Source organism: Homo sapiens, chromosome 14, assembly GCF_000001405.40.
Source record: "Homo sapiens chromosome 14, GRCh38.p14 Primary Assembly".
In the NCBI taxonomy this organism is placed as follows: Eukaryota; Metazoa; Chordata; class Mammalia; order Primates; family Hominidae; genus Homo; species Homo sapiens.
In genome coordinates, this window is record NC_000014.9 from 52602908 (window position 1) to 52625668 (window position 22761).

The window sequence follows — 22761 nt, forward strand, 5'->3', positions numbered from 1 at the left end:
ATCAGGGTAATTGGGATATCATCACCTCAAACATTTATATTTTTGTATTGGAACATTACAGTTCTTTCTAGTTATTTTGAAACATATAATAAATTGTTATTAACTATAATTTCCATAATGTACTATCAAATACTTACTCTTATCTAACTGTATTTTTGTACTCATCAACCAACTTCTCTTCATCCTCCCCTACCACTCTTCCTTTTCCAGCCTCTAGTAACCATTATTCTACTCTACCTCCATGAGATCCACTTTTGTAGCTCCCACATGTGAGTGAGAACATGTAGTATATTTGTCTTTCTGTGCCTGGCTTATTTCACTTAACATAATGAACTCCAGGTCCATCCACGTTGTTTCAAATGACAGGATTTCATTCTTTTTATGCCCATGTAATAGTCCATTGTATACATGTACCACATTTTTTTATTCATTCATCTGTTGATGGACACTTAGGTTGATTCCATATCTTGGCTATTATGAATAGTGCTACAATAAATATGGGAGTGCACCTGTCTCTTTGACATAGTAATTTCCTTTCTCTTGGATATCTACCCAGCAGTGAGATTTCTGGATCATATGGTAGTTCTATTTTTAGTTTTTCAAGGAACTTCCATACTGCTTTTTGGGGTTGTTTGTTTGTTTTTGAGATGGAGTCTTGCTCTTTCGCTGAGGCTGGAGTACAAGTGGCGCACTCTTGGTTCGCTGCAACTTCTGCCTCCCAGGTTCAAGTAATTCTCCTGCCTCAGCCTCCCGAGTAGCTGGGATTACAGGTGCCTGACACCACGCCTGGCTAAATTTTTTTTGTGTTATTAGTAGAGACGGGGTTTCACCATGTTGGCCGGGCTGGTCTCAACCTCCTGACCTCAAGTAATCCACCCTCCTCAGCCTCCCAAAGTGCTGGGATTACAGATGGGAGCCACTGTGCCCAGCCTCATACTGTTTTTCATAACGGTTGTCCTACTTTACATTCCCATCAACAGTGTACAGGCATTCCCCTTTCTCTGCATCTCTGCCAGCACTTGATTTTTTGTCTTTTTGATAATAACCATTCTAACTATAGTGAGATGATAACCCATTGTGGTTTTGATTTGCATTTCCCTGATGATTGATGTTGAATTTTTTCATTTAACTGTTGGCCATTTGTATGTCTGCTTTTGTAGAGATGTCTATTCAGGTATGTTGCCCATTTTTAATTTGATTATCTATCTTTTTGCTATTGATTGTTTGAGTTCCTTATATATTCTGGTTATTAATCCCTTGTTGAATGGATAACTTGTAAATATTTACTCCCATTCTATAGGTTGTCACTTCACTTTGTTAATTGTTTCCTTTGCTTTGCAGGAGCTTTTTAGCCTGATGTAATCCCATTTGTCTATTATTACTTTGGTTGCCTATGCTTTTGAGGCCTTACCCAAAAAATATTTGCCCAGATGAAGGTCCTGGAGCATTTCCCCAGTGTTTTCTTCTAGTACTTTCATAGTTTCAGGTCTTAAATTTATGTTTTAAATCCATTTTTGTAGATGGTGAGAGATGGGGCTTTTTTTTTTTTCTTGAGACAGAGTCTAGCTCTGTCTGTCACCCAGACTCTAGTGCAGTGTTGTGATCCTGGCTCACTACAACCTCCACCTCCCAGGTTCAAGCGATTCTCCAGCCTCAGCCTCCCATGTAGCTGGAATTACAGGTGCTCACCACCACGCCTGGCTAATTTTTTTGTATTTTTAGTAGAGATGGGGTTTTGCCGTGTTGGCCAGGCTGCTCTTAAACTCCTGATCTCAGGTGATCCACCTGCCTTGGCCTCCCAAAGTGCCAGGATTACAGGCATGAGCCATCGCGCACAGCCAAAATGGGGCTGTTTAATTCCTCTGCATATGGATAACCAGTTTTCCCAGCACCATTTATTGAGATTGTGACTTCCCCCAGTGTATGTTCTGGGCATCTTTGTCAAAAATAAGTTGGCTATAAGTGTGTGGATTTATTTCTGAGTTCTGTGTTCTATTCCACTGGTCTGTGTGTCTGTTTTTATGCCAGTACCATGCTGTTTTGGATACTATAGCTTTGCAGTATAATTTAAAATCAAATATTGTGATGCCTCCAACTTCATTCTTTTTACTTAGGATTGCTTTAGCTATTCAGGGTCTTTTGTGGTTCCATATAATTTTAGGACTTTTCTTCTATTTCTTTGAAGAATGTAATTGCTATTTTGACAGATATTTCATTGAATCTGTAGATCACTTTGGGTAGTATAGAAATTTTCACAATATTGATTCTTTCAATTAGTGAGCATGGGATGTCTTTCCATTTTTTGTGTCCTCTTCAATTTCTTTCTTCACTATTTCATGGTTTTCATTATAGAGATCTTTTACTTCTTAGGTTTAATTTATTCCTGGATATTTTTTGGTAGCTCTTGTAAATGAGATTGATTTCTTGATTTCTTTTTCAGATTGATCACTGTTAACATATAGAAACACTACTGATTTCTGTATGTTGATTTTGTATCCTTCAATTTTACTGATCATTTATCAGTTCTAATAGTTCTTTGTGGAATCTTTAAGTTTTTCAAAATATGAGATCATATAATCTGTAACAAGGATTAATTTGACTTCTTCCTTTCTAGTCTGGATGCCCTTTATTTCTTTCTCTTGCCTAATTGCTCTGGCTTAGACTTCCAGTACTATGTTGTGTAAAAGTGGTGAAAGTGGGCATCCTTATGTTGTTCCAGATTTTAGTGGAAAGGCTTTCAATTTTTCCCCATTCAATATAGTATTAGTTGTGTGTTTGTCATATTTAGACTTTATCTTGCTGAGGTATGTTCTGTACCCTATTTTTTTACGGCTTTTATCATGAAAGGATGTTGAATTTTACTGAATGCTTTTTAAGCATCTATTGAAATGAACATGTGGTTTTTGTTCTTCATTCTGTTGCTGCGATATATCACATTTGTTGATTTGTGTACATTGAGCCTTCCTTGCATCCCTGGGATGAATCAATTTGATCATGGCAAATGATCTTTTCAATGTGTTGTTGAATTCTGTTTGCCAGTATTTTGTCAAGGATGTTTGCATCTATTTTCATCAGAGATGTTGGCCTGTAGAGTTTTTTGTTGTTTGTCTCTTTTCCTGTTTTTGGCATCAGAGGGTAATGCTAGCCTCATAGAATGATTTTGGAAATGTTCCCGCTCCTTCAATTTTTTGAAATTGTTTGAGCAGAATTGGTATTAGTTCTTCTTTAAACTTTCAGTAGAATTTAGCTGTGAAGCCATAAGGTCCTGTGCTTTTTCTTTGTTGGGGGACTTTATTACTGTTTTAATACTGTTACTCATTATTGATGTATTCAGGTTTTCTTCGTTATTCAGTCATGGTAGGTTATATGTGTTCAGGAACTTATCCATTTCTTCCAGGTTTTCTAATTTGTTGGCATGTAGTTCGTAATAGTCTCTAATGATTTCTTGTATTTCTGTGGTATCTGTTATAATGTTTCCTTTTCTTTTTCTTTTTTATTTTACATGAATAGTGCTTTTATTTATTAATTAAATTTGTTTATTTACTTTGAGACAGTGTCTTGCTGTGTCACCCAGGCTGGAGTGGGCAATGGTGTGATCTCAGCTCACTACAGCCTGGACCTCCCAGGCTCAAGTGATCCTCCCACCTCAGACTCCCAGGGCTGGGACTACAGGCATGTGCCACCACACCCAGCCAATTTTTTAAATTTTTTGTAGACAGAATCTATGTTGTCCAGGCTGCTAATGTTTCTCTTTTCATCCTTAGTTTTAATTATTTGAGTCTTCTCTTTTTGTTAGTCTAGCTAAGTTTGTTGATTTATTTTTTCAAAAAACAAACTTTTTGTTTTGTTCCTCTTTTGTATTTTTTTAAGTCTCAATTTCATTTATTTCTGCTTTAATCTTCATTATTTCTTTCCTTCTACTAATTTTGGCTTTGGCTTGCTCTTGCTTTTCTGTTTCCTTGAGATACATTATTAGATTGTTTATTTGTCTTTCTATTTTTTTGATGGAGGCATTTACTTCTATAAACTTCCCTCTTGCTGCTGCATTTGCTGTATCCTATAGTTTCTGGTATGTTGTGTTTCCATTTTTGTTTTTCTCAAGAAATTTTTTAATTTCCTTAACTTATTCGTTGAGCCATTGATCGTTCAGGAACATGTTATTTAATTTCCATGTATTTTTACAGTTTCAGAAGTTCCTCCTGTTACTGATTTCTAGTCTTGCTCTGTTGCAGCCAGAAAAGATATTGATATGATTTGACTTTGTTTAATTAATTTGTTGAGACTTGTTTTCTGGCCTAACATGTGGTCTATTCTGGAGAATGTTTTAGGTACTGATGAGAAAAATGTGCATTCTGCAGCAGTTGGATGAAATGTTTTATGGATGTCTGTTAGGGCTAGTTGGCTTAGAGTATAATTTATCTCCAATGTTTCTTTGTTGATTTTCCACCTGGATGATCTGTCCGTTGCTAAAAGTGAGGTGTTGAAGTCCCCTACTGCTACTGTATTGCAGTTTATCTCTCCCTTTAGCTTTGCTAATATTAATATTTGCTTCATATATTTGGGTGTTCTTGGTGTTGGATGTATATATATTTATTGTTGTCATGTCTTCTTGCTCAGTTGACTGACACCTTTGTATAATGACGTTTGTGTCTTTTTACAATTTTTGACTTAAAGTCTATTTTATCTGGCCAAGTGCAGTGGTTCATGCCTGTAATCCCAGCACTTTAGGAAGCCAAGGTGGGCAGATGGCTTGGCTCAGGAGTTCAAGACCAGCCTGGCCAACATGGCAAAACCCCGTCTCTAGTAAAAATACAAAAATTAGCTGGGCATGGTGGCGCATGCCTGTAATCCCAGCTGCTTGGGAGGCTGAGGCACAAGAATCGCTTGAGCACAGGAGGTGGAGGTTGCAGTGAGCTGAGATCACACCACTGCACTCCAGCCTGGGCAGCAGAGCGAGACTCTGTCTCAAAAAAAAAAAAAGAAAAAGACAAGGTCTATTTTATCTGATATGAATATAGCTCTTCCTACTCCTTTTTGGTTTCCATTTGCATGGAATATCTTTTTCCATCCCCTCACTTTCAGTGTATTGTGTCTTTACAGGTGAAGTGATTTTCCTGTAGGCAACATATAGTTAGATCATGTTTTTTAATCCATTTTGCCACTCTGTATCTTTTAATTAGACAGTTTAATCCATTTACACTAAATGTTACTATTGATATGTCAGGATTTACTGCCATTTTTGCTTCTTTTCTAACTCCTCTCTTCCTTTCTTCCTTTTTTACTGTCTTCTTTTGTGGTTAAGTGATTTCTCTGGCAGTATGTTTTAATCTATTGCTTTTTATTTTTAGTGTATCTGTTATAGATTTTTGCTTTGTGGTTACCATGAGGCTTACAAAAAATATTCTGTAGTTAACAACAAGTTACTTAAGATTGATAACAACTTTGATCACAAAAAGAAGAGAAAACAAAGAACACTGTACACATTAGCTCCATTCTCTTCCCCACATTTTGAACGTTTGATGGCACAATTTGCATTTTTATATTGCCTGTCTCTTGGTAAATTGTAGTCATTATTTTTAATACTTCTGTCTTTTAGTCTTCTTAGTAAATATATAAGTGGTTTATGCATCATGATTATAATATTAGTGTAACAATCATGTTAACAGTCTTTTTCCTGTGGTTTAAAAAAATTCCCTTTAGCATTTATTGTAGGACAGCTCTGGTGATAAATTCCCAGTTTTTGTTTGTGAAAGTCTCTCTTTCACTTCTAAATAATAGCTTTGCTAGATAGAGTATTCTTAGAAGGCTTTTTTTTTTTCCATCAGCACTCTGAATATATCATCCCATTCACTCCTGGCCCGTAATGTTTCTGCTGAGAAGTCTGCTGCCAGGTGTATTGGATCTTTCCTAAATGTTATTTGCATCTTTACTCTTGCTGCTTTCAGGATCTTCTCTTTGTCTTTCACCTTTGGGAGTTTGATTATATGTCTTAGAGTATCTTTACTTGGACTGACTCTGATTGGTGACCTTTGACTTTCCTGTACCTGGATATTTGTATCTTTCTCCAGGTTTGGGAAGTTTTCTGTTATTATTTCTTCAAATAAACTTTCTACCCCTGTCTTTCTCAGTTCCCTACCTAACTCCAACACCCCAAATATTTGCTTTTTTATGTTGGCCCACAGATTCATAAGCTTTCTTCATTTCTTTTTTTTCTTTTTTCTCCCCTGTGTATTTTCAGCTAGTCTGTTTTCAAGCTCACTGATTGTTCTGTTTAACCAATTCTGCTGTTGCTCCCTATTACATCTTTCATTTCATTCAGTGTATTTTCAGCTCCTGAGTTTCTGTTTGATTGTTTTTATTATTTCAATCTCTATATTAAATTTCTTTGATATATTCCTCATTTGAGTCTCTGTGATTTCCTGAAGTTCATTGACCTTCCTTAAAACAGCTATTTAAAATTCTTTGAGAGATCTCACATCTCCATCACTTTGGGGTAAGTGGCACCTTATTTTATCCATTTGATGAGGTCATATTTCTCTGAATGTTCTTGATGCTTGTGGAAGTATGACGGTGTCTACACACCAAGGGGTTACATTTTTATTTTAGTTTTCACAGTCTGGCTTTGTTTATGCCTGGCCTTCTTCAGAGGGCCTTCCAGGGATTCTAAACAGACTGACTTGTGTTTCCTGAGCCTGTGTCTACTGCAGTTGTCTCAGCACTGGAGGACGCTCTAAGCCTAGGCTTGCTCCATGTCTTGTGAGGGCTCGGAAGTTGATGCCAATTTCTGGCCCAGATGGATCTGGGGAAGACACAAGGAAGGTACCGGGGCTGGGTGGGAATGCTGGCCAGGGACCCAAGTCCAGAAAACTGTCCCAGTGGCCCAGATGGGTGTGCCTCCCAGCAGGTATTTACACAGGAGTAGGTGGAGCTTAAGAGACAAAGGCAGTATGACTTCAATGGCATGTAAGACCTGGCCTTTGACTATTTTTGTGATTCCCCTACCACTATCACTCTCCTCTTCCTTTTCTAGCCACATTGGCTTTTTGTGCCCCAACTTCTCACCGCAAAACATACACTAAGTTTATTCCAGCCATATAGACTTTGTATTGTATATATTGTTCCCTCTGCCTAAATTGCATTTTCTACAGGTACCTATGTGATGGCTTCTTTGCATTCAGGCCTCAGTCGCTTTTTCAAAGTTGCTCTTCTTCACTACCCAAATAAGACTATCCCCCATTCTGATTACTACATCTGTCACCCTCTTTTGTTATCTTCACAGCATTTATCAGTAGCCAAAATTATTTATTCATTTATTTTCTTAGTTATTTTCTGCTTCTCCCTGCTAAAGTATAAACCAGGAAAGGAGCTCTCTTATTTGTGTTATTCATTTTTCAGTCCTTTTCTAAAATAATGCCTGGCATATTTTAGTGAAGTGAAGACAAGGGTAGTCTCCCCTTATCTGCGGTTTCCTTTCCACGATTTCAGTTACTGCAGTCAACCTCAGTCTGAAAATAGGTGAGTACAGTACAATAAAATATATTGAGAGAGAGATGACCACATTCACATACCTTTTATTACAGCATTTTGTTATAATTATTCCATTTATTACTATTTTGTTAATTTCTTAGTATGCCTGATTTATAAATTAAATTTTATTATAGGTATGTATGGATAAGAAAAAAAGTAGTACATATCGGGTTTGGTACTATCCATAGTTTCAGGTATCCACTTAGGGTTTTGGAACAAATACCCTATGGGTAAGGAGGGGACGACTGTAGTAGATGTTCGGTAAATATTTGTTGAATAAATACATTCTATGCTTGCATATAGTCTTAGCCAGAGCAGCTTTACTTTAGTAACCAAATAAGCCTTCACAACTGGGTTGTATCAAGAGCAAATTGAACCAATAAACATGCCCAAGTTCACATAGTTGAACCAGGATTCAAACTCAAGTCTGACCATAGGTCTCTGCTAGTAACCACCATGCATTGACTCCATTTACATCACCCTGTGTTTACTTATAATCTTTTAGGTGTGTATTTTTATATAGGTTTTAATTTACATGGATATGTTTGTTTGCTTATTAATAACATTATTTCACATAAATTCTTATTGGATTTTGCCATAATACTCTCCAAAAGAATAAATCATTTTATAATGCTATCATTAATATAAAAGTATACCTTGTTTCCTCTGCTCCATCAATATTTGGGTCTAAATTTTATTTATTTTGGTTTTTTCATTGATATGCCTTAAAAGTTTTAATTTAGATTTATCTAATTGTTATGCATTTATAATTCATGTAGATAATTATTCACATTTCTATATGTATAAACTATTTCTCAATGATTTGTAGAGTGGAATCTGGGAATTTATTCTTTATATCTTTGGCATGTGTGATTTCTGTTTATATTAAAATGTTATCTTTTTTAAGAATGATAGCCTTCGTAAGTCTAATGTGTACCTAGTTATGAATAGATATTTAATCTTATTAAATTCTTGTTAATTACTTTATATTGCTACAGTTTTCCTTTTCTATTTATTATACAAATATAGTAAATTGTTTGACTAGATTTTTGTCATATTCCTTGAATTTTAAGGATACAACCTCCTTTTGTTATTTTTTGTTATTTTTTTAATTTTGGTATTTTCATTGTTATATTATTTAAAATGTTATTAAACCTACACTTGAAGTAAAATTAACCAACTTTTTTTGACTTTTTAGTATCTTTTCAGGTTTCAGGATATAAATGTATTTATTTCAAATAAATTGTACACTACATAGTACAAAGTAGTAATAACTCAAGGTCTAGAGTTATATTGCTGGATTTAAATCAGAGATCTGCCATTTATCAGCTCTATGACTTTAACCTCTCTGTCCACCTTTAAACTGAAGATAAAGTATAGTAATCATGTCCATAGTGGTGTTGCAAGGATGAAATAATAATGTATGGAAAGTCATAGTATATTACGTGGCACTAAAAATATAAATGTTGACTCGCTATCATCTTCATCATCATATTTTGACATAGTTTATAGAATAGGCTTGTTCTTACAAAACTTGGAAAAATCCTTTCATTACCCATTTGGCAGAATGTTGTTCTTTGGTAAACTTTTTTGGTTTTCTTTTGTTTTTCACTGTTATTTGTCTGTTAACTGGTTTTATTTCTACCAGACTTGCTGTTTTATAGTTTTATGGGCAGTTAGCCATATTATCCTTACTAAAAATGTATTTTTTCTGATTATTAAAACTTGGCAATATGAAAGAATATGATTTCTTTAATGTTCTAAACAGCCGTAGTGTCACCACTGACACTTAACTGTATTTGGAACTCAGTGTAAATGTAAATATAATTTTATACCCTGCTTTTCCCCTTATACTAGTAAAGGATTTTCTCATGCTATTAAAAATTATTTTTAAGGCTGCATAACATTTCATCATATACCAAAATTAATTCTTATCCTACTGATAGGCCTTTAAGTGGTTTTCAAAAAAGAATGTCAGCCTCCATAATGTTAATTTTCTTCAAAATCAGTTTTGTTTTGCTTTTTATTTTTAGTAAGAGTTAGAGGTTTTAGTAATTACATCTAGAACTGTGTATCCCAGCCTCAGTTTACAGAGCACTCACGTATCTTTTATGTTATGATTTGCATTACTTTTTTTTCTTGATAGAGACACATTCTCACTGTGTCACCCAGGCTGGAATGTAGTGGCGCAATTATAGCTTACTGTAACCTCAAACTCCTGGGCTTATGTAATTCTCCTACCTCAGCCTCCCAAGTAGCTAGAACTGCGAGCATTCACCACCACACTCAGCTTTTTTTTTTTTTTTTTCTTTGGAGAGAACAAGTCTTGCTATGTTGCCCAGGCTGCTCTCAAACTCCTGGCCTCAGATGATCCTGTCATCTTGGCCTTCCAAAGTACTGGGATTACAAGCATGAGCCATGGTACTCAGCCCATTATTATTTTTTTTAATTCTTAGAAAATTTTTTATTTTTAATTTTTGTGGGTGATTATAAGGTATATATGTATGGGGTATATAAAATATTTTTGGGCCAGGCGCAGTGGCTCACGCCTGTTGTAATCCCAGCACCTTGGGAGGCCAAGGCGGGTGGATCACGAGGTCAGGAGATCAAGACCATCCTGGCTAACACGGTGAAACCCTGTCTCTACTAAAAATACAAAAAATTTGCCCGGCATGGTGGCGGGTGCCTGTAGTCCCAGCTAATCGGGAGGCTGAGGCAGGAGAACGGTGTGAACCCAGGAGGCGGAGCTTGCAGTGAGCTGAGATCATGCCACTGCACCTCCAGCCTGGGGGACAGAGTGAGACTCCACCTCAAAAAAAAAAAAAAAAAGATATTTCTGATACAGGCATGAGAAGCATAATAATTACATTATGGAAAATGCAATATCCATCCCCTCAAGCATTTATCCTTTGTGTTACAAACAATTCAATTATACCCTTTTAGTTATTTTAGAATACACAATTAAATTATTATCCATAGTCACCCTGTTGTGCTATCAACTAGGTCTTATTAATTCTTTCTAACTACTTTTTGTACCCATTAACCATCCCCACTTCTCCCCAACCCCTCCACTACCCTTCCCAACCTCTGGTAACCATCCTTCTACTCTCTATCTCCATGAGTTCAATTGTTCTGATTTTTAGCTCCAACAAATAAGTGAGAACATGCGATGTTTGTCTTTCTGTGCCTGGCATATTTTATTTAACATGATGATCTCCAGTTCCATGTTGTTGCAGATTACAGGATCTCATTCTTTCTTATGGCTGAATAGTACTCCATTGTGTGTAAGTACCACATTTCTTTACCCATTCATGTGTTGATGGACACTTAGGTTGCTTGCAAATCTTGGCTGTTTGGACAGTGCTGGCTGCAACAGACATGGGAGTGCAGATATCTCTTTGATATACTGATTTCCTTTCTTTTGGGTATATACCCAGCAGTGGGATTGCTGGATTGTATGGTAGCTCTGTTTTTAGTTTTTTGAGGAGCCTCCAAACCATTCTCCATAGTGGTTGTACTAATTTACATTCCCACCAACAGTGTCCAAGGTTCCCTTTTCCTCACAACCTTACCAGTATTTGTTATTGCCTGTTTTTTGAATGAAAGCCCATTTCACTGGGATGAGATGATACCTCATTATAGTTTTGATTTGTATTTCTCTGATGTTAAATGATGTTGAGCACTTTTTCTTTTTTTTTTTTTTGAGACAGAGTCCCACTCTGTCACCGCAGGCTGGAGTGCAGTGGCATGATCTCAGCTCCCCGCAGCCTCAACCTCCTGGGCTCAATCAGTCCTCCCACTTCAGCCTCCCTATTAGCTGGTACCGTAGGCATGCACCACCACACCTGGCTAATTTTTGTACTTTCTGTAGAGATAGGGTTTCACCATGTCGCCCAGGCTGGTCTCAAACTCCTGAGCTCAAGCAATCTGCCCACCTCGGCCTTCCAAATTGCTGGGATTACAGGTGTGAGCCATGAGCACTTTTTCATATTCTTGTTCGCCATTCATAAGTCTTCTTTTGAGAAATATCTTTTCAAAGCTTTTGACCATTTTTATTTTATTTTCCTTTTTTTGAAACAGTGACACTCTGTTGACTAGGCTAGAGTGCAGTGGTGCAATCACAGCTCACTGCAGCCTCAACCTCCTGGGCCCAGGTGATCCTCCTGCCTCAGCTTCCTGAGTGGCTGGGACTACAGGCATGTGCCACCATGCCCGACTAATTTTTTATATTTTGTAGAGACGGGGTCTCGCTATGTTACCCAGGCTGGCCTTGAACTCTTGGTCTTAAGCTATCCTTCTGACTCAACCTCCCAAAGCATTGGGATTACAGGCATGAGCCACCATGCCCAGCTGCCCATTTTTAAATCAGATTATTAAATTTTTTTTCCTATAGAGTTTGAGTTCCTCATATATTCTGGTTATTAATCCCTTGTCAGATGAGTAGTTTGCAAATGTTTTTTTCCATTCTGTGGGTTGTCTCTTCACTTTCTTAACTGTTTCCTTTGCTGCACAGAAGCTTTTTAACTCGATAGGATCCAATCCATCCATTTTTGCTTTGGTTGCTTGCGCTTGTGGAGTACTACTCAAGAAACTTTTGCCCAGACCAATGTCTTGGAGAGTTTCCCCAAGTAGTAGTAGTTTCATAATTTGAGGTCTTAGATTTAAGTGTTTAATTCGTTTTGATTTAATTTTTGCATGTAGCAAGAGATAAGGGTACAGTTTCATTCTTCTGCATATGTATATCCAGTTTTCTGAGCACCATTTATTGAAGAAACTACCTTTTCCCCAGTGTATGTTCTTGGCACCTTTGTCAAAAATGAGTTCACTATAGGTGTGTGGATTGGTTTCTGGGTTCTCTATTCTGTCCTACTGGTTTATGTGTCTGTTTTTATGTCAGTATCATGCTGTTTAGGTTACTAAAGCTCTGTAGTATAATTTGAAGTCAAGTAATATGATTGCTCGAGTTTTGTTCTTTTTGCTCAGGATGTCTTTGGCTATTCTGGGTCTTTTGTGGTTCCATATACATTTTAGGGTTTTTTTTTTTTTTGGTCATTTCTGTGAAGAATCTCATTGGCATTTTAATAGGGATTGCATTGAATCTGTAGATTGCTTTGGGTAGTATGGACATTTTAACAATATTGATTCTTCCAATCCATGAACATGAAATATCTTTCCATTTATTTGGTGTCCTCTTCAGTTCCTTTAATCAGTGCTTTATAGTTTTCATTGTAGAGATCTTTCACTTCTTCGGTTGACTTAATGTTTAGATATTTAATTTTATTTGTGGCTATTATAAATGAGATTACTGGTTTGATTTCTTTTTCACATTGTTGACTGTTGGCATGTAGAAATGCCACTGATTTGTGAATGTTGATTTTTGTATCCTGCTATTTTTTAATTTGTATTTATTAAGCAACTGAAACAGTGCTGTGATTTGATTCTTTTTCAGTATAGCACTCTCACTTGCTTTTTAAATACTAGTTATTGTAAATTTGAATAGTTTATTTCTACTCTTTCATTTTTTTATTTTCTCACATATTTAAGGTTGCTACTTTCTTCCATGTCAATGTCCTTGTATAGACATTTAATTCATTTTTTGTAAACTAATACAGGTATTTAGAGCAATATGTTTTCTCAAGTACTGCCTTGGCACCTTTCTATAATCTTGTAATATTATAGCAAAAGTCATTATTTAACAAAAATCAAGAAAATTTCTGTTTGGATTTCAGCCCTGTCTCAAACATTGCATATTTACACATCAGTATGAGTTGGAAACTATCTCTAGTTATAAGTCTTCCTTCAGCTCACCTTGGGAAAAAAAGCCTAAAATTCACACATATGTTCTCTTTTTTGTTTGTTTGTTTGTTTGTTTGTTTTGAGACAGGGTCTTGCCCTGTCACCTAGGCTGGAGTGCAGTGGCCCAATCTCAGCTCACTGCAACCTCTGCCTCCTGGGTTCAAGGGATTCTCATGTGTTATCCCCACAAGTAGCTGGAATTACAGGCATGAGCCACCACGCCCAGGCTAATTTTTGTATTGTAAGTACAGATGGGTTTCACCACGTTGGCCAGGCTTGTCTCAAATTCCTGGCCTCATGTGATCCGCCTGCCTCAGCCTCCCAAAGTACTGCAGTTACAGGCGTGAGGCACTGCCCCCAGCCATGTTAGGTTCCTCGTCTTCCACATGAAATTATAAATTTTACTCTTTGCTTGATTGTCCATGCATGGAATCTGACCTACTAAATAATATAGAATTTCTGTATTCCAGGTTCTTGTTAGAGAAAATAAACTCTCAACTGTTAAATTCAGAAGTTTAGTTGCCAGAAAGATGACCTGAAGGATGTGCATTCCATTTACCCACCTATTCCATTTTATGCTCAGCCCAATCCAGATCATTGAAGTTTTGTACCAAGACTGCATTGTATCCTGGGTAGAGTCGTCTTTTCTGACCTCCACTTTGACACCATACTTTGGCCTACAGCAACATATTTGTAAAATTTCTTGTAAGGAAAGTTTATTTTAAAGCCATAATTGTATAATGTTGTTGAGGATATTGTCTATACAGTGTCTCCAGAAAAGATATTTTGCCCAGATTCAGTACCTAAAAACTGGTATTGGTTAAATCCTTCTTTCCTCTGGCTGCTATGTTCAGAGGCAAATATGTGGCTCACCTCTGTCAGCCATGGTGATCTTATGATATCTATTTTTGGTACTGGCTCTACCTCTAGGTTCATCTCAGTTTCTTACCCACCATTCCCTCACACACACACACATATATTTCCATATTTATTTTTATTTTCTGTATATCTCTGTAATTGCTTCAAATTCTCTTGTGCAGTGAGAGTGGTATAAATAAAAAATAGAATCAAATATACTTTATATTTCTTTTGTCAGGTATATCAATTTGAAATTAATATGGAAAGGCCTTAGAGAGAGTGTATTAAGTGATTAAAAGATGGAAACTGGCCGGGCGCGGGGGCTCACACCTGTAATCCCAGCACCTTAGGAGGCTGAGGCAGGTGGATCACTTGAGGTCAGGAGTTCAAGACCAGCCTAGCCAACATGGTGAAACCCTGTCTCTACTAAAAATACAAAAGTCAGCTGGGCATGGTGGCACATGCCTGTAATACCAGCTACTTGGGAGGCTGAGGCAGGAGCATTGCTTGAACCCAGGAGGTGGAGTTTGCAGTGAGCCGAGATTGTACCACCGCACTCCAGCCTGGGCAACAGAGCGAGAGTCCTTCTCAAACAAACAAACAAACAAACAAAAAGATGGAAATTTAGGATCAGAGAGATAAGGATGTAAATCCCAGCTCTACTGTTTATTGGCTGTGTGACCTTAGTCAAATTGCAGCATCTTTAAGCTTCACTTTCCTGATCTGCAAAATGGAGATAATGATAGTGCTCTCATGGGTTGCTATGAGGATAAGAGCTGTCCATACCTTATAAGGTTGTTGTAAGGATTAAATTAAAAAATACATAAAATGCTTGGTATATTGCCTACCACTAAAAAATTGCTTATAAATGTTATTTATTATGGTATTAATGTAATTAGGGGATGGTAATCTAACTTCACAGAGTTCCTGAACACCTGAAAATGTTGGCAAAATTTGACTGGAGAGGGGTCTTGTATAATGATCAAATCTCAAAAGGAACAGTCACTGAAAAAAAGGAATAAGAATTACTGAAGAACAGGATTCCCCTTTTGAATATTTTAACTTTGCTTGACTCTACATGATTTATATCCTACTCTACTTTTTGGTAAGAGTTGACCTGTCTGATAGATTACATTTTATCTACTACTTAAGTAGTTTTTCTGAGAAATTTTTGGAACAAATATGAAATAGCCTTTTTGATGGGCATTTTTGTTCTGAAATCTCATCTTTTACTCCAATCTCAGTTTTGTTTTGTTTGCATTGACATGATAGACTGGATACTGTCTTTTAACTTTTTGTCTATTGCTAACATTTTAAGTGTGCCTCACTAACTTAGGCAAAGTTTTATGGAGTTTAATTATGAATGAGCACCCCTTTTTATAGGGTAACTCAAATAGTTTCCATTTATTACCATGATTGTCAGTATTTGTCTTTTTCTCTCTCATTAAGTTTTTTTGTTGCTGTTTGATTTGCCTTCATTTGTAGAATTTCTAGGGCACATTTACTTTTTATCAGAATTATAACTTTTTATCAGTTATAAATCAATGAAGTAAATATGCTTTTTATCAGAATTATAACTTTTAACATTAAAACGCATGCTAATAGAATTATTTTTATTCTAACATTATTTTCCATTTCAGAAAAAATAAGAACAGTTATAAGAATATAGAAGACATATTACTTTCAAAGGACAAAATAACTCGTCAGCATAAAAAGGTTCAAACCAGCTAGATGCTTAGTCCCCGAGATAGCAAGTTGGGATTCTTTGTCTGAAAGACCAATCAAAGAATGGGTAGGAATAAAAGTAAGCTTTTAGGCTTATATATCTGGCCAGGGACATGTACAATTTTATATCTGGATAAGGGTATAAAAGGAATCATTGGTACTCAAGATCAGCTTGTCTGCCAGCCCAATCAGCCATTTGCAAATAATACATTTTCTCACTCCCTCCTGTATTTCTAACAGTTTTAATTACTGTATAAACCTTTCTGTTCTGTGTTCACTCAATCCTTGATCCTTACTATTTAACATATTGGGATGGGAGACAGCATCAGCCTTTTTCAGAGACACAGTAACATTCAATCAAATATTTCTTATCTTTCATACAAGGCAACTAATTCTATACAGCTAACGCAATGGTTTATGGTAACTTAGGCCATAATTAAAGAAACAGGCTAAAATATTATTAATATCTCTCTTCCAGCACCTTGAAATACCACTTAACTAGAATTTGGAGAGAGTGATGGTAGAAAAATACAGACCGCATTATCCCCTGTAATATAGATAGGATTGCCACCTTCCTAATATTTTAATATTTAATATCCTAATATTATAATTTCTCCCTTGAGTTACTGGGATTTACTTTATCCCTCTTAAGCTATAGAGCTTCTTTAGTTTGCTGCCCTAGCTACTGCAGTTGTTGTACTGCAAGTCTTATTTCCTATTCTGTTGCTGAGCTGACCCACCACACCTTGTCCCATTTGAAAGATCCTTGCTTACACTTAGGTTTATATCTCTTATCTTCTCCTAAGCCTAAGTAGTTTTCTCCCTGCTTCTAGACCCTTTTACTCTATGAGCTAGCATTTTCAGAATTTTTTAATTTTTCCATGGCCAGATAGCCCACCCAGTAAAAGCCATCCACTCCATAATGTCAGGGTCATAGGAGCCAGAGATTGAGTTTCATTGTGACTTAGCAGCATGAAACTGTTTGTGAAACTGTGTAGGCCTTATAATTATCAAGACATGTTTTTAAATTTATTAATTAATTCTACTTTGTTTTCTTGTTTTTAATGCTGAGGTTGGCATTTTAATTTCAAAATGGAAATAGTATTTGTAAGATTATTTGAAAAAAAATACATGCACGATTCTATGTCTGGTAATGGCTAAGATTGCTCCTAATGGACCAACTTTCCACAGATAGCAATCATAAATTCTGGACAAAGTGTAAAAAAGCACTGAAGGCAATGGAGAACAACCACTTAGAAGAAGAAAATGACACTGAGTGAGTTTCCTGTTTTTTACAGCTTCTAGCCTGAGAGAAGGTCCCATCCATGGGGCAGCCAAAACTGGAAGAGAAATCCACTGTTTTACTGGCTTGAAAAATCAGAAGATAAAATTGTAGTCACTACTGCAGATGTAAAGTGAGTAGGAAATCTCAGGAAGAAGATACCAGATAGAAGAAGACCCATACTCTTATTATAAAGTCTGTCAAAATTTTATCTGATACCTGAACTACACATGTGAAAGACAGGCTCCAAACAGCACAGTTAAAGATAAAGAAATTTAACTGAGATTTCAGCTGACCAACGTATGGGGGACAGAGTTTGGGATTTCAGTTCAGCCAAGTTAATTGTTTGCTAAAATAATTAAAAATCAACATCTTTCAGAACATAATAGCAGAATCCAGACTCTAAAATATGTCACTCACAATGTCCAGGTCAAGGTTACAAATATATGAAGAAACAGGAAATACATACTCAAGAGCAAAAACCAAAACTCAAAAGGCAATGAAGACAACCCCACCACCACCAAGATAACCTAAATTTTGGATTTATCAGACAAAGCATTTATAATATGCTCAAGGGCTTGAAGGAAAATACACTTGGATAAATAAATAGGAAATCTCAAGAGAAATAAAAACTATTAAAAAAACCAAATGGAAATTCTAGAATTTAAAAATATAGTATTTAAAATAAATGTCACTAGTTGTGCTTAACAGCAGCATATTGGAGATGAAGGAAGAGTCAGTTCACTTAAAGATAAATCAATAAAAAGTATCCAATCTAAAGAACAGAGGAAAGTGGGGAAAGCCTGTAATAAAACAGACAGAAGCTCAGGAGTCTAATTATGTGTAATTATCATCCCCAAAGGGAAAGAGGAAGAACATGAAGTTGGAAAAAATATTTGAAAAAATAATGACCTAAACTTTCCAATTTTGGTGAAAGACATAAATTATAAATTTATGTCTTTCAAGCTTAGCAAACCCAATCAGGATAAATATGAAGAAAATTTTGTCTAGGGTCATTACAGTTAAAGTGCTGCAAACTAAAAAGAATAAGAAAATCTTGAAAACAGAGAAAAATAAATTATAGAATTACATAAAGGGACATCAATGTAAATGATGACTCACTTCTCATCAGAAATAATGAAGGCCAGAAGACACGGAAACGGTATTTTTTAAATGCCAAAAGAAAAAAGCTGTCAACTCTGAAATACAAATCCAGTGAAGATATTATTAAAGAACAGTGGAGAAATAAAAACATTTCCAGAAAAAAGAAAACTAAGGGGATTACTTACCAGCATACCTAACACTGTAAGAAATGCCAAGAAAATTCTACAGACTGAAAAGAAATAAAACCAGCTTGAATTTCAGCTCTTCAAGAAGGAATGAAGAACATGAGAAATAGTAAATATGTGGGTAAATATGATTTTTAACTTCTTTAAAATATGATTATGCAAAACAAAAATCACGTAATATTGTGAGGTTTACATATGTATACGTAATATATAATTCTCTGTGTATTATATATAACAACCATAGCATAAAGGAGAGGTTGTAAATGGATCTATACAGTTGCAAAGTTCTAACATTTATATCAAATGATAGGATATTAACTACTATCTAGACTGTGAGAAGTTAAGGATATATTTTATAATCCCTAGAGCAATGGTTCTCAAATTTTTTGGCCTCAAGACCCCATCACACTCCTAAAAATTATTGATGATGCCAGAGAGCTTTTGTTTGTGTATATTATATCTATTAATACAAATCATACTATAAATAAAAAATTAAGAGATTATAAAAATATCCATTTATTAATTTATTTAAAATAAATCCATTACATTCTAACAAATAACATGTTTTATAAAAAAATTTTTATAAAACAAAATAATACTGAGAAGATTGGCATTGTTTTACATTTTGCAAATCTCTTTAATATCTGACTTAATAGAAGACAGCTAGATTTTTATGTCTGCTTCTGCATTCAATCTATTGTGGTATGTTGTTTAGGTTGAAGCATATGAAGAAAATCCATCCTCACACATATATATAGTTGGAAATGGAGGAGAATTTTAATAGACTTTTCAGATAATTGTGGATATCTTCTTTAATACTACACCAAAACTCAGAAGTGGAGGTTTCTTAAAGGTTAGTTGCCATGTGGAATATAAAACCATATTGGTGAACTTTTTGTCCTCTCCATTGGTCAATCTTGCATTTGAATCATTTTGTAACATCGCGCATTAATCATTTGGAAAAGAATGGTCCTAGATCTTCAAAATGTTGATACATTTCATTAGACAATATTCAAAAGCATGTGTTAATTATCAGACCATCTCATTAGAAAAGTCTTTTAGTTTTAAGAAGCTGTTAATCTTACAGTACAAGTATGTACAAGTTTCTAAAAATTACAATTTTCACTTAAAAGCTTACATTTTATCATTGGAAATAAATGCTGCCAGATGTTTTCATTGAAGTGATACACTCATTTTATTTATTTTTGAAAAAAAATATGCCCAGTAGCCAAGTCCAAATAACCATTGTTTGTCTGCCAGAGTTGTCTGTCAGGTAAAAAATGGTGTTCTATGAAAAAAAGTGGTTAGATCCACTAACAAGTCAATCACGTAAGTGCTTTTCCTCAATACAGCTGCTGTACTTGAGTGTGCAGCAGAATTACTTTAAGGGCACATCTCATCACATAGAATGTTAAATACACATGTACTCTAGGGTTTATATTTAATATAAATTATATTTTCAGTGCTTCACCAAAGACATTCTTCAATGAAACTGACTTTCTTTTTTTAAGTACAAGTGCATGGTAGTGAAGAATATAGTCACTGCCGGTACAGTTCATTGCCACCGTCTTGATTTGTGCTAAGGCCCAATAATTTTACACACAATTGGTCTAGCACAGATAATGAATTTATCAACACAGTTGGCCCAGGATAAACAATCAGAAAAGTTATTCAACACTTTGATTATTTTGGTACCACTTGTGTTTCCTATCAGGCGTTGACATAAAAGAATATTTTCTTGGATGATTAGTTGGTGCTGACACCATATAAATGCAACAAAATAAGCCCTGCCACATCTGTACATTCATTCATTTGTAAGACAAAAATGTGTTTGTAGACAAAACATTAACTTAATCTTTACATTTTCAGTTAAATCCTTAAATCAGTGAATTTCTGTATAATTGGAAATGGCAATGCCATGGTTCTTTTATAAACTTTCCATCCAGCAGGCATTCAGCAATGTCAATTATATAAGGCTATACTAGTTTCTAAGCTATTGTGTACTTTATTGGCCAATGCGATATAATAACTTAGCCTTTAAAATGCTTCAGTGAGTGGCCATTTCCTTTCTAGTCTGGAAAGTTATAAAAACAATATTTGGTGTTTAAAGCATTCATGATACCTACATCTAAAATTTGAATTCCTTTTGCTTTAAACTCTGAATGATTGGTCTCAAAGTGATGCTGCAGCTTAACTTGGACCATGAAACTATTCAAAAATGTTCTGTTACAGAAGACACAATAAGGTAAATTATTAACATTTATAAAGCTTACTGAAAGAGGCTTCATAATATTTTCATAATATTTTTTCCTTATTTATAGTTTCACTCAGTTCATTTGACGTAGATTCCTCTCTTCATTGAGTCAGAGAACTGTCTATCACTTTCATCTTTCTCAGCATCTTAGAGGTAAACAGGGACGTTGGATGTTGGGAAAATTATAGTGCTAAAATATATAACACAAAATTTACCATTTTAACCATTATTAAGCATAGTCAGTGTCAAGTATAGTTCATTATCATTAAGTACATTCATATTGTTGTGCAGCTGTGACTACTGTTCATTTTCAGAATGTTTTTCTCATCCCATACTGAAATTCTGTATCCACTAAGCAACAATTCCCCCATTTCTAAGCTAATGATCCATTCTTAAATATGAAAATATATATAATTTTTTATTTTAAAGTAAAATATTCTAAAATCAGTTTTATTTCTAATTAAATTTTTTTAAGTTTTTGAAGAAAATTCTTAAATATTGTAAAATAAATCTTCATGGTATACGTATTCTTGTGTTTCCATGTAGGTGTGAGCACAATTCTAAATAACCCATGGGTAAAAAAAAAAAAAAGAAAGAACAAGGGACATTAGAAAAGATTTCAAACTGAAGGATAATGAAATAAAATATATCAAAATTTGTGGAATGCAGTAAAAATTGTACTTGAAGGGAAAAGCACAGATTTAAATAATATATTAGAACATAAGGATATAAAATGAGTGACTCAAGTTTCTCCCTTAGAAATGGTAGTGGGAGTGTGTGGAGTAGGAAAAAGTAAGCCCAAAGTAAGTAATAGAACTGAAATAGTCCAGGCATGGTGGCTTTGGGAGGCTGAGGCAGACAGACAGTTTGAACTCAGGATTTTGAGAGCAGCCTGAGCAATATGATGAAACCTCATCTCTACAAAAAATACAAAAATTAGCCGGGTGTGGTGGTATGCACCTGTAGTCCCAGCTGCTCAGGAGGCTGAAGTGGGAGGATAGCCGGAGCCTGGGAGGCAGAGGTTGCAGTGAGCCGAGATCATGCCACTGCACTCCATCCAACGCAACAGAGCCATATGCTGTCTCAAAAAAAAAAAAAACTGAAATAATAAAGATAAAAATAGAAATCAATGAAATAGGAAACAAAAAATGGAGAAATTAAAGCCAAAAGTTGATTCTTGAATACATCAGTCAATTTGATCTACAGGAAAACAGTGAAAATACAAATTGCCAATGTTATGAATGAAAGAGGGACTATCACTAAACATCTTACAGACATTAAAAGACAAGAGGATATATGAACAACACTTTGCTGGTAAATTTGAGAACTGAGATGAAATGGACAAATTCTTTTAAATATACAACTATAAATTGATAGAAGATGAAATTGTATTTTATCTTAGATTTTGTAATCTAAGTAGACCCATATTTATTAAAGAAATTAAAGTTATTATCAGAAATTTCTCAAAACTGCAGCTCCAGATGATTTCACTGGTTAATTCATCAAATATTTAAAGAAGAAACAACACCAATAGTATACAAACTCTTAGAAAATAGAGGAGGGGGCTGGACACGGTGGCTCACACCTGTAATCCCAGGGCTTCGGGAAGCCGAGGCGGGTGGATCACAAGGTCAGGAGTTCAAGACCAGCCTGACCAATATGGTAAAACCCCATCTCTACTAAAAATGCAAAAATGAGCCAGGCGTGGTGGCGCGCACCTGTACTCGCTTCTACTCGGGAGACTGAGGCAGGAGAATCGCTTGAACCCAGGAAGTGGAGGTTGCAGTGAGCCAAGATTGCACTACTGCACTCCAGCCTGGGTGACAGAGTGAGACTCCATCCCAAAAAAAAAAAAAAGAAAAAGAAAAGAAAATAGAGGAGGGAAGAACACATCTTTTTTTTTTTTTTTTTTTTTTTTTTTTTTTTTTTTTTTTGAGACGGAGTCTTGCTGTGTCACCCAGGCTGGAGTGCAGTGGCGTGATCTCGGCTCACTGCAATCTCCGCCTCCCAGGTTCACATCATTCTCCTGC

The 22761-nt window shown here is 35.6% G+C and overlaps 1 protein-coding gene across 7 annotated transcripts in view; it reads left to right on the forward strand.

The window, feature by feature from the left end:
• GPR137C (G protein-coupled receptor 137C) overlaps positions 1-22761 on the forward strand; it is an 84878-nt gene that overhangs the window by 50072 nt on the left and 12045 nt on the right. The window contains exons 4-5 of one of the 7 annotated variants that reach the window (XR_007064006.1): positions 15104-15286; positions 15822-17622. The exons of 2 other annotated variants lie outside the window; for them this stretch is intronic. Coding sequence is in view for 3 of the 5 variants with exons in the window: in NM_001353361.2 (NP_001340290.1) it covers positions 10764-10811 (48 nt within the window). In the remaining 2 variants the exon portion in view is untranslated. Of the gene's footprint in view, positions 1-10763; positions 10812-15103; positions 17623-22761 lie in introns of those variants that run through there. 4 more of the 7 variants (NR_148417.2, NM_001353361.2, XM_047431281.1 and 1 more) reach the window with 4 other exon arrangements.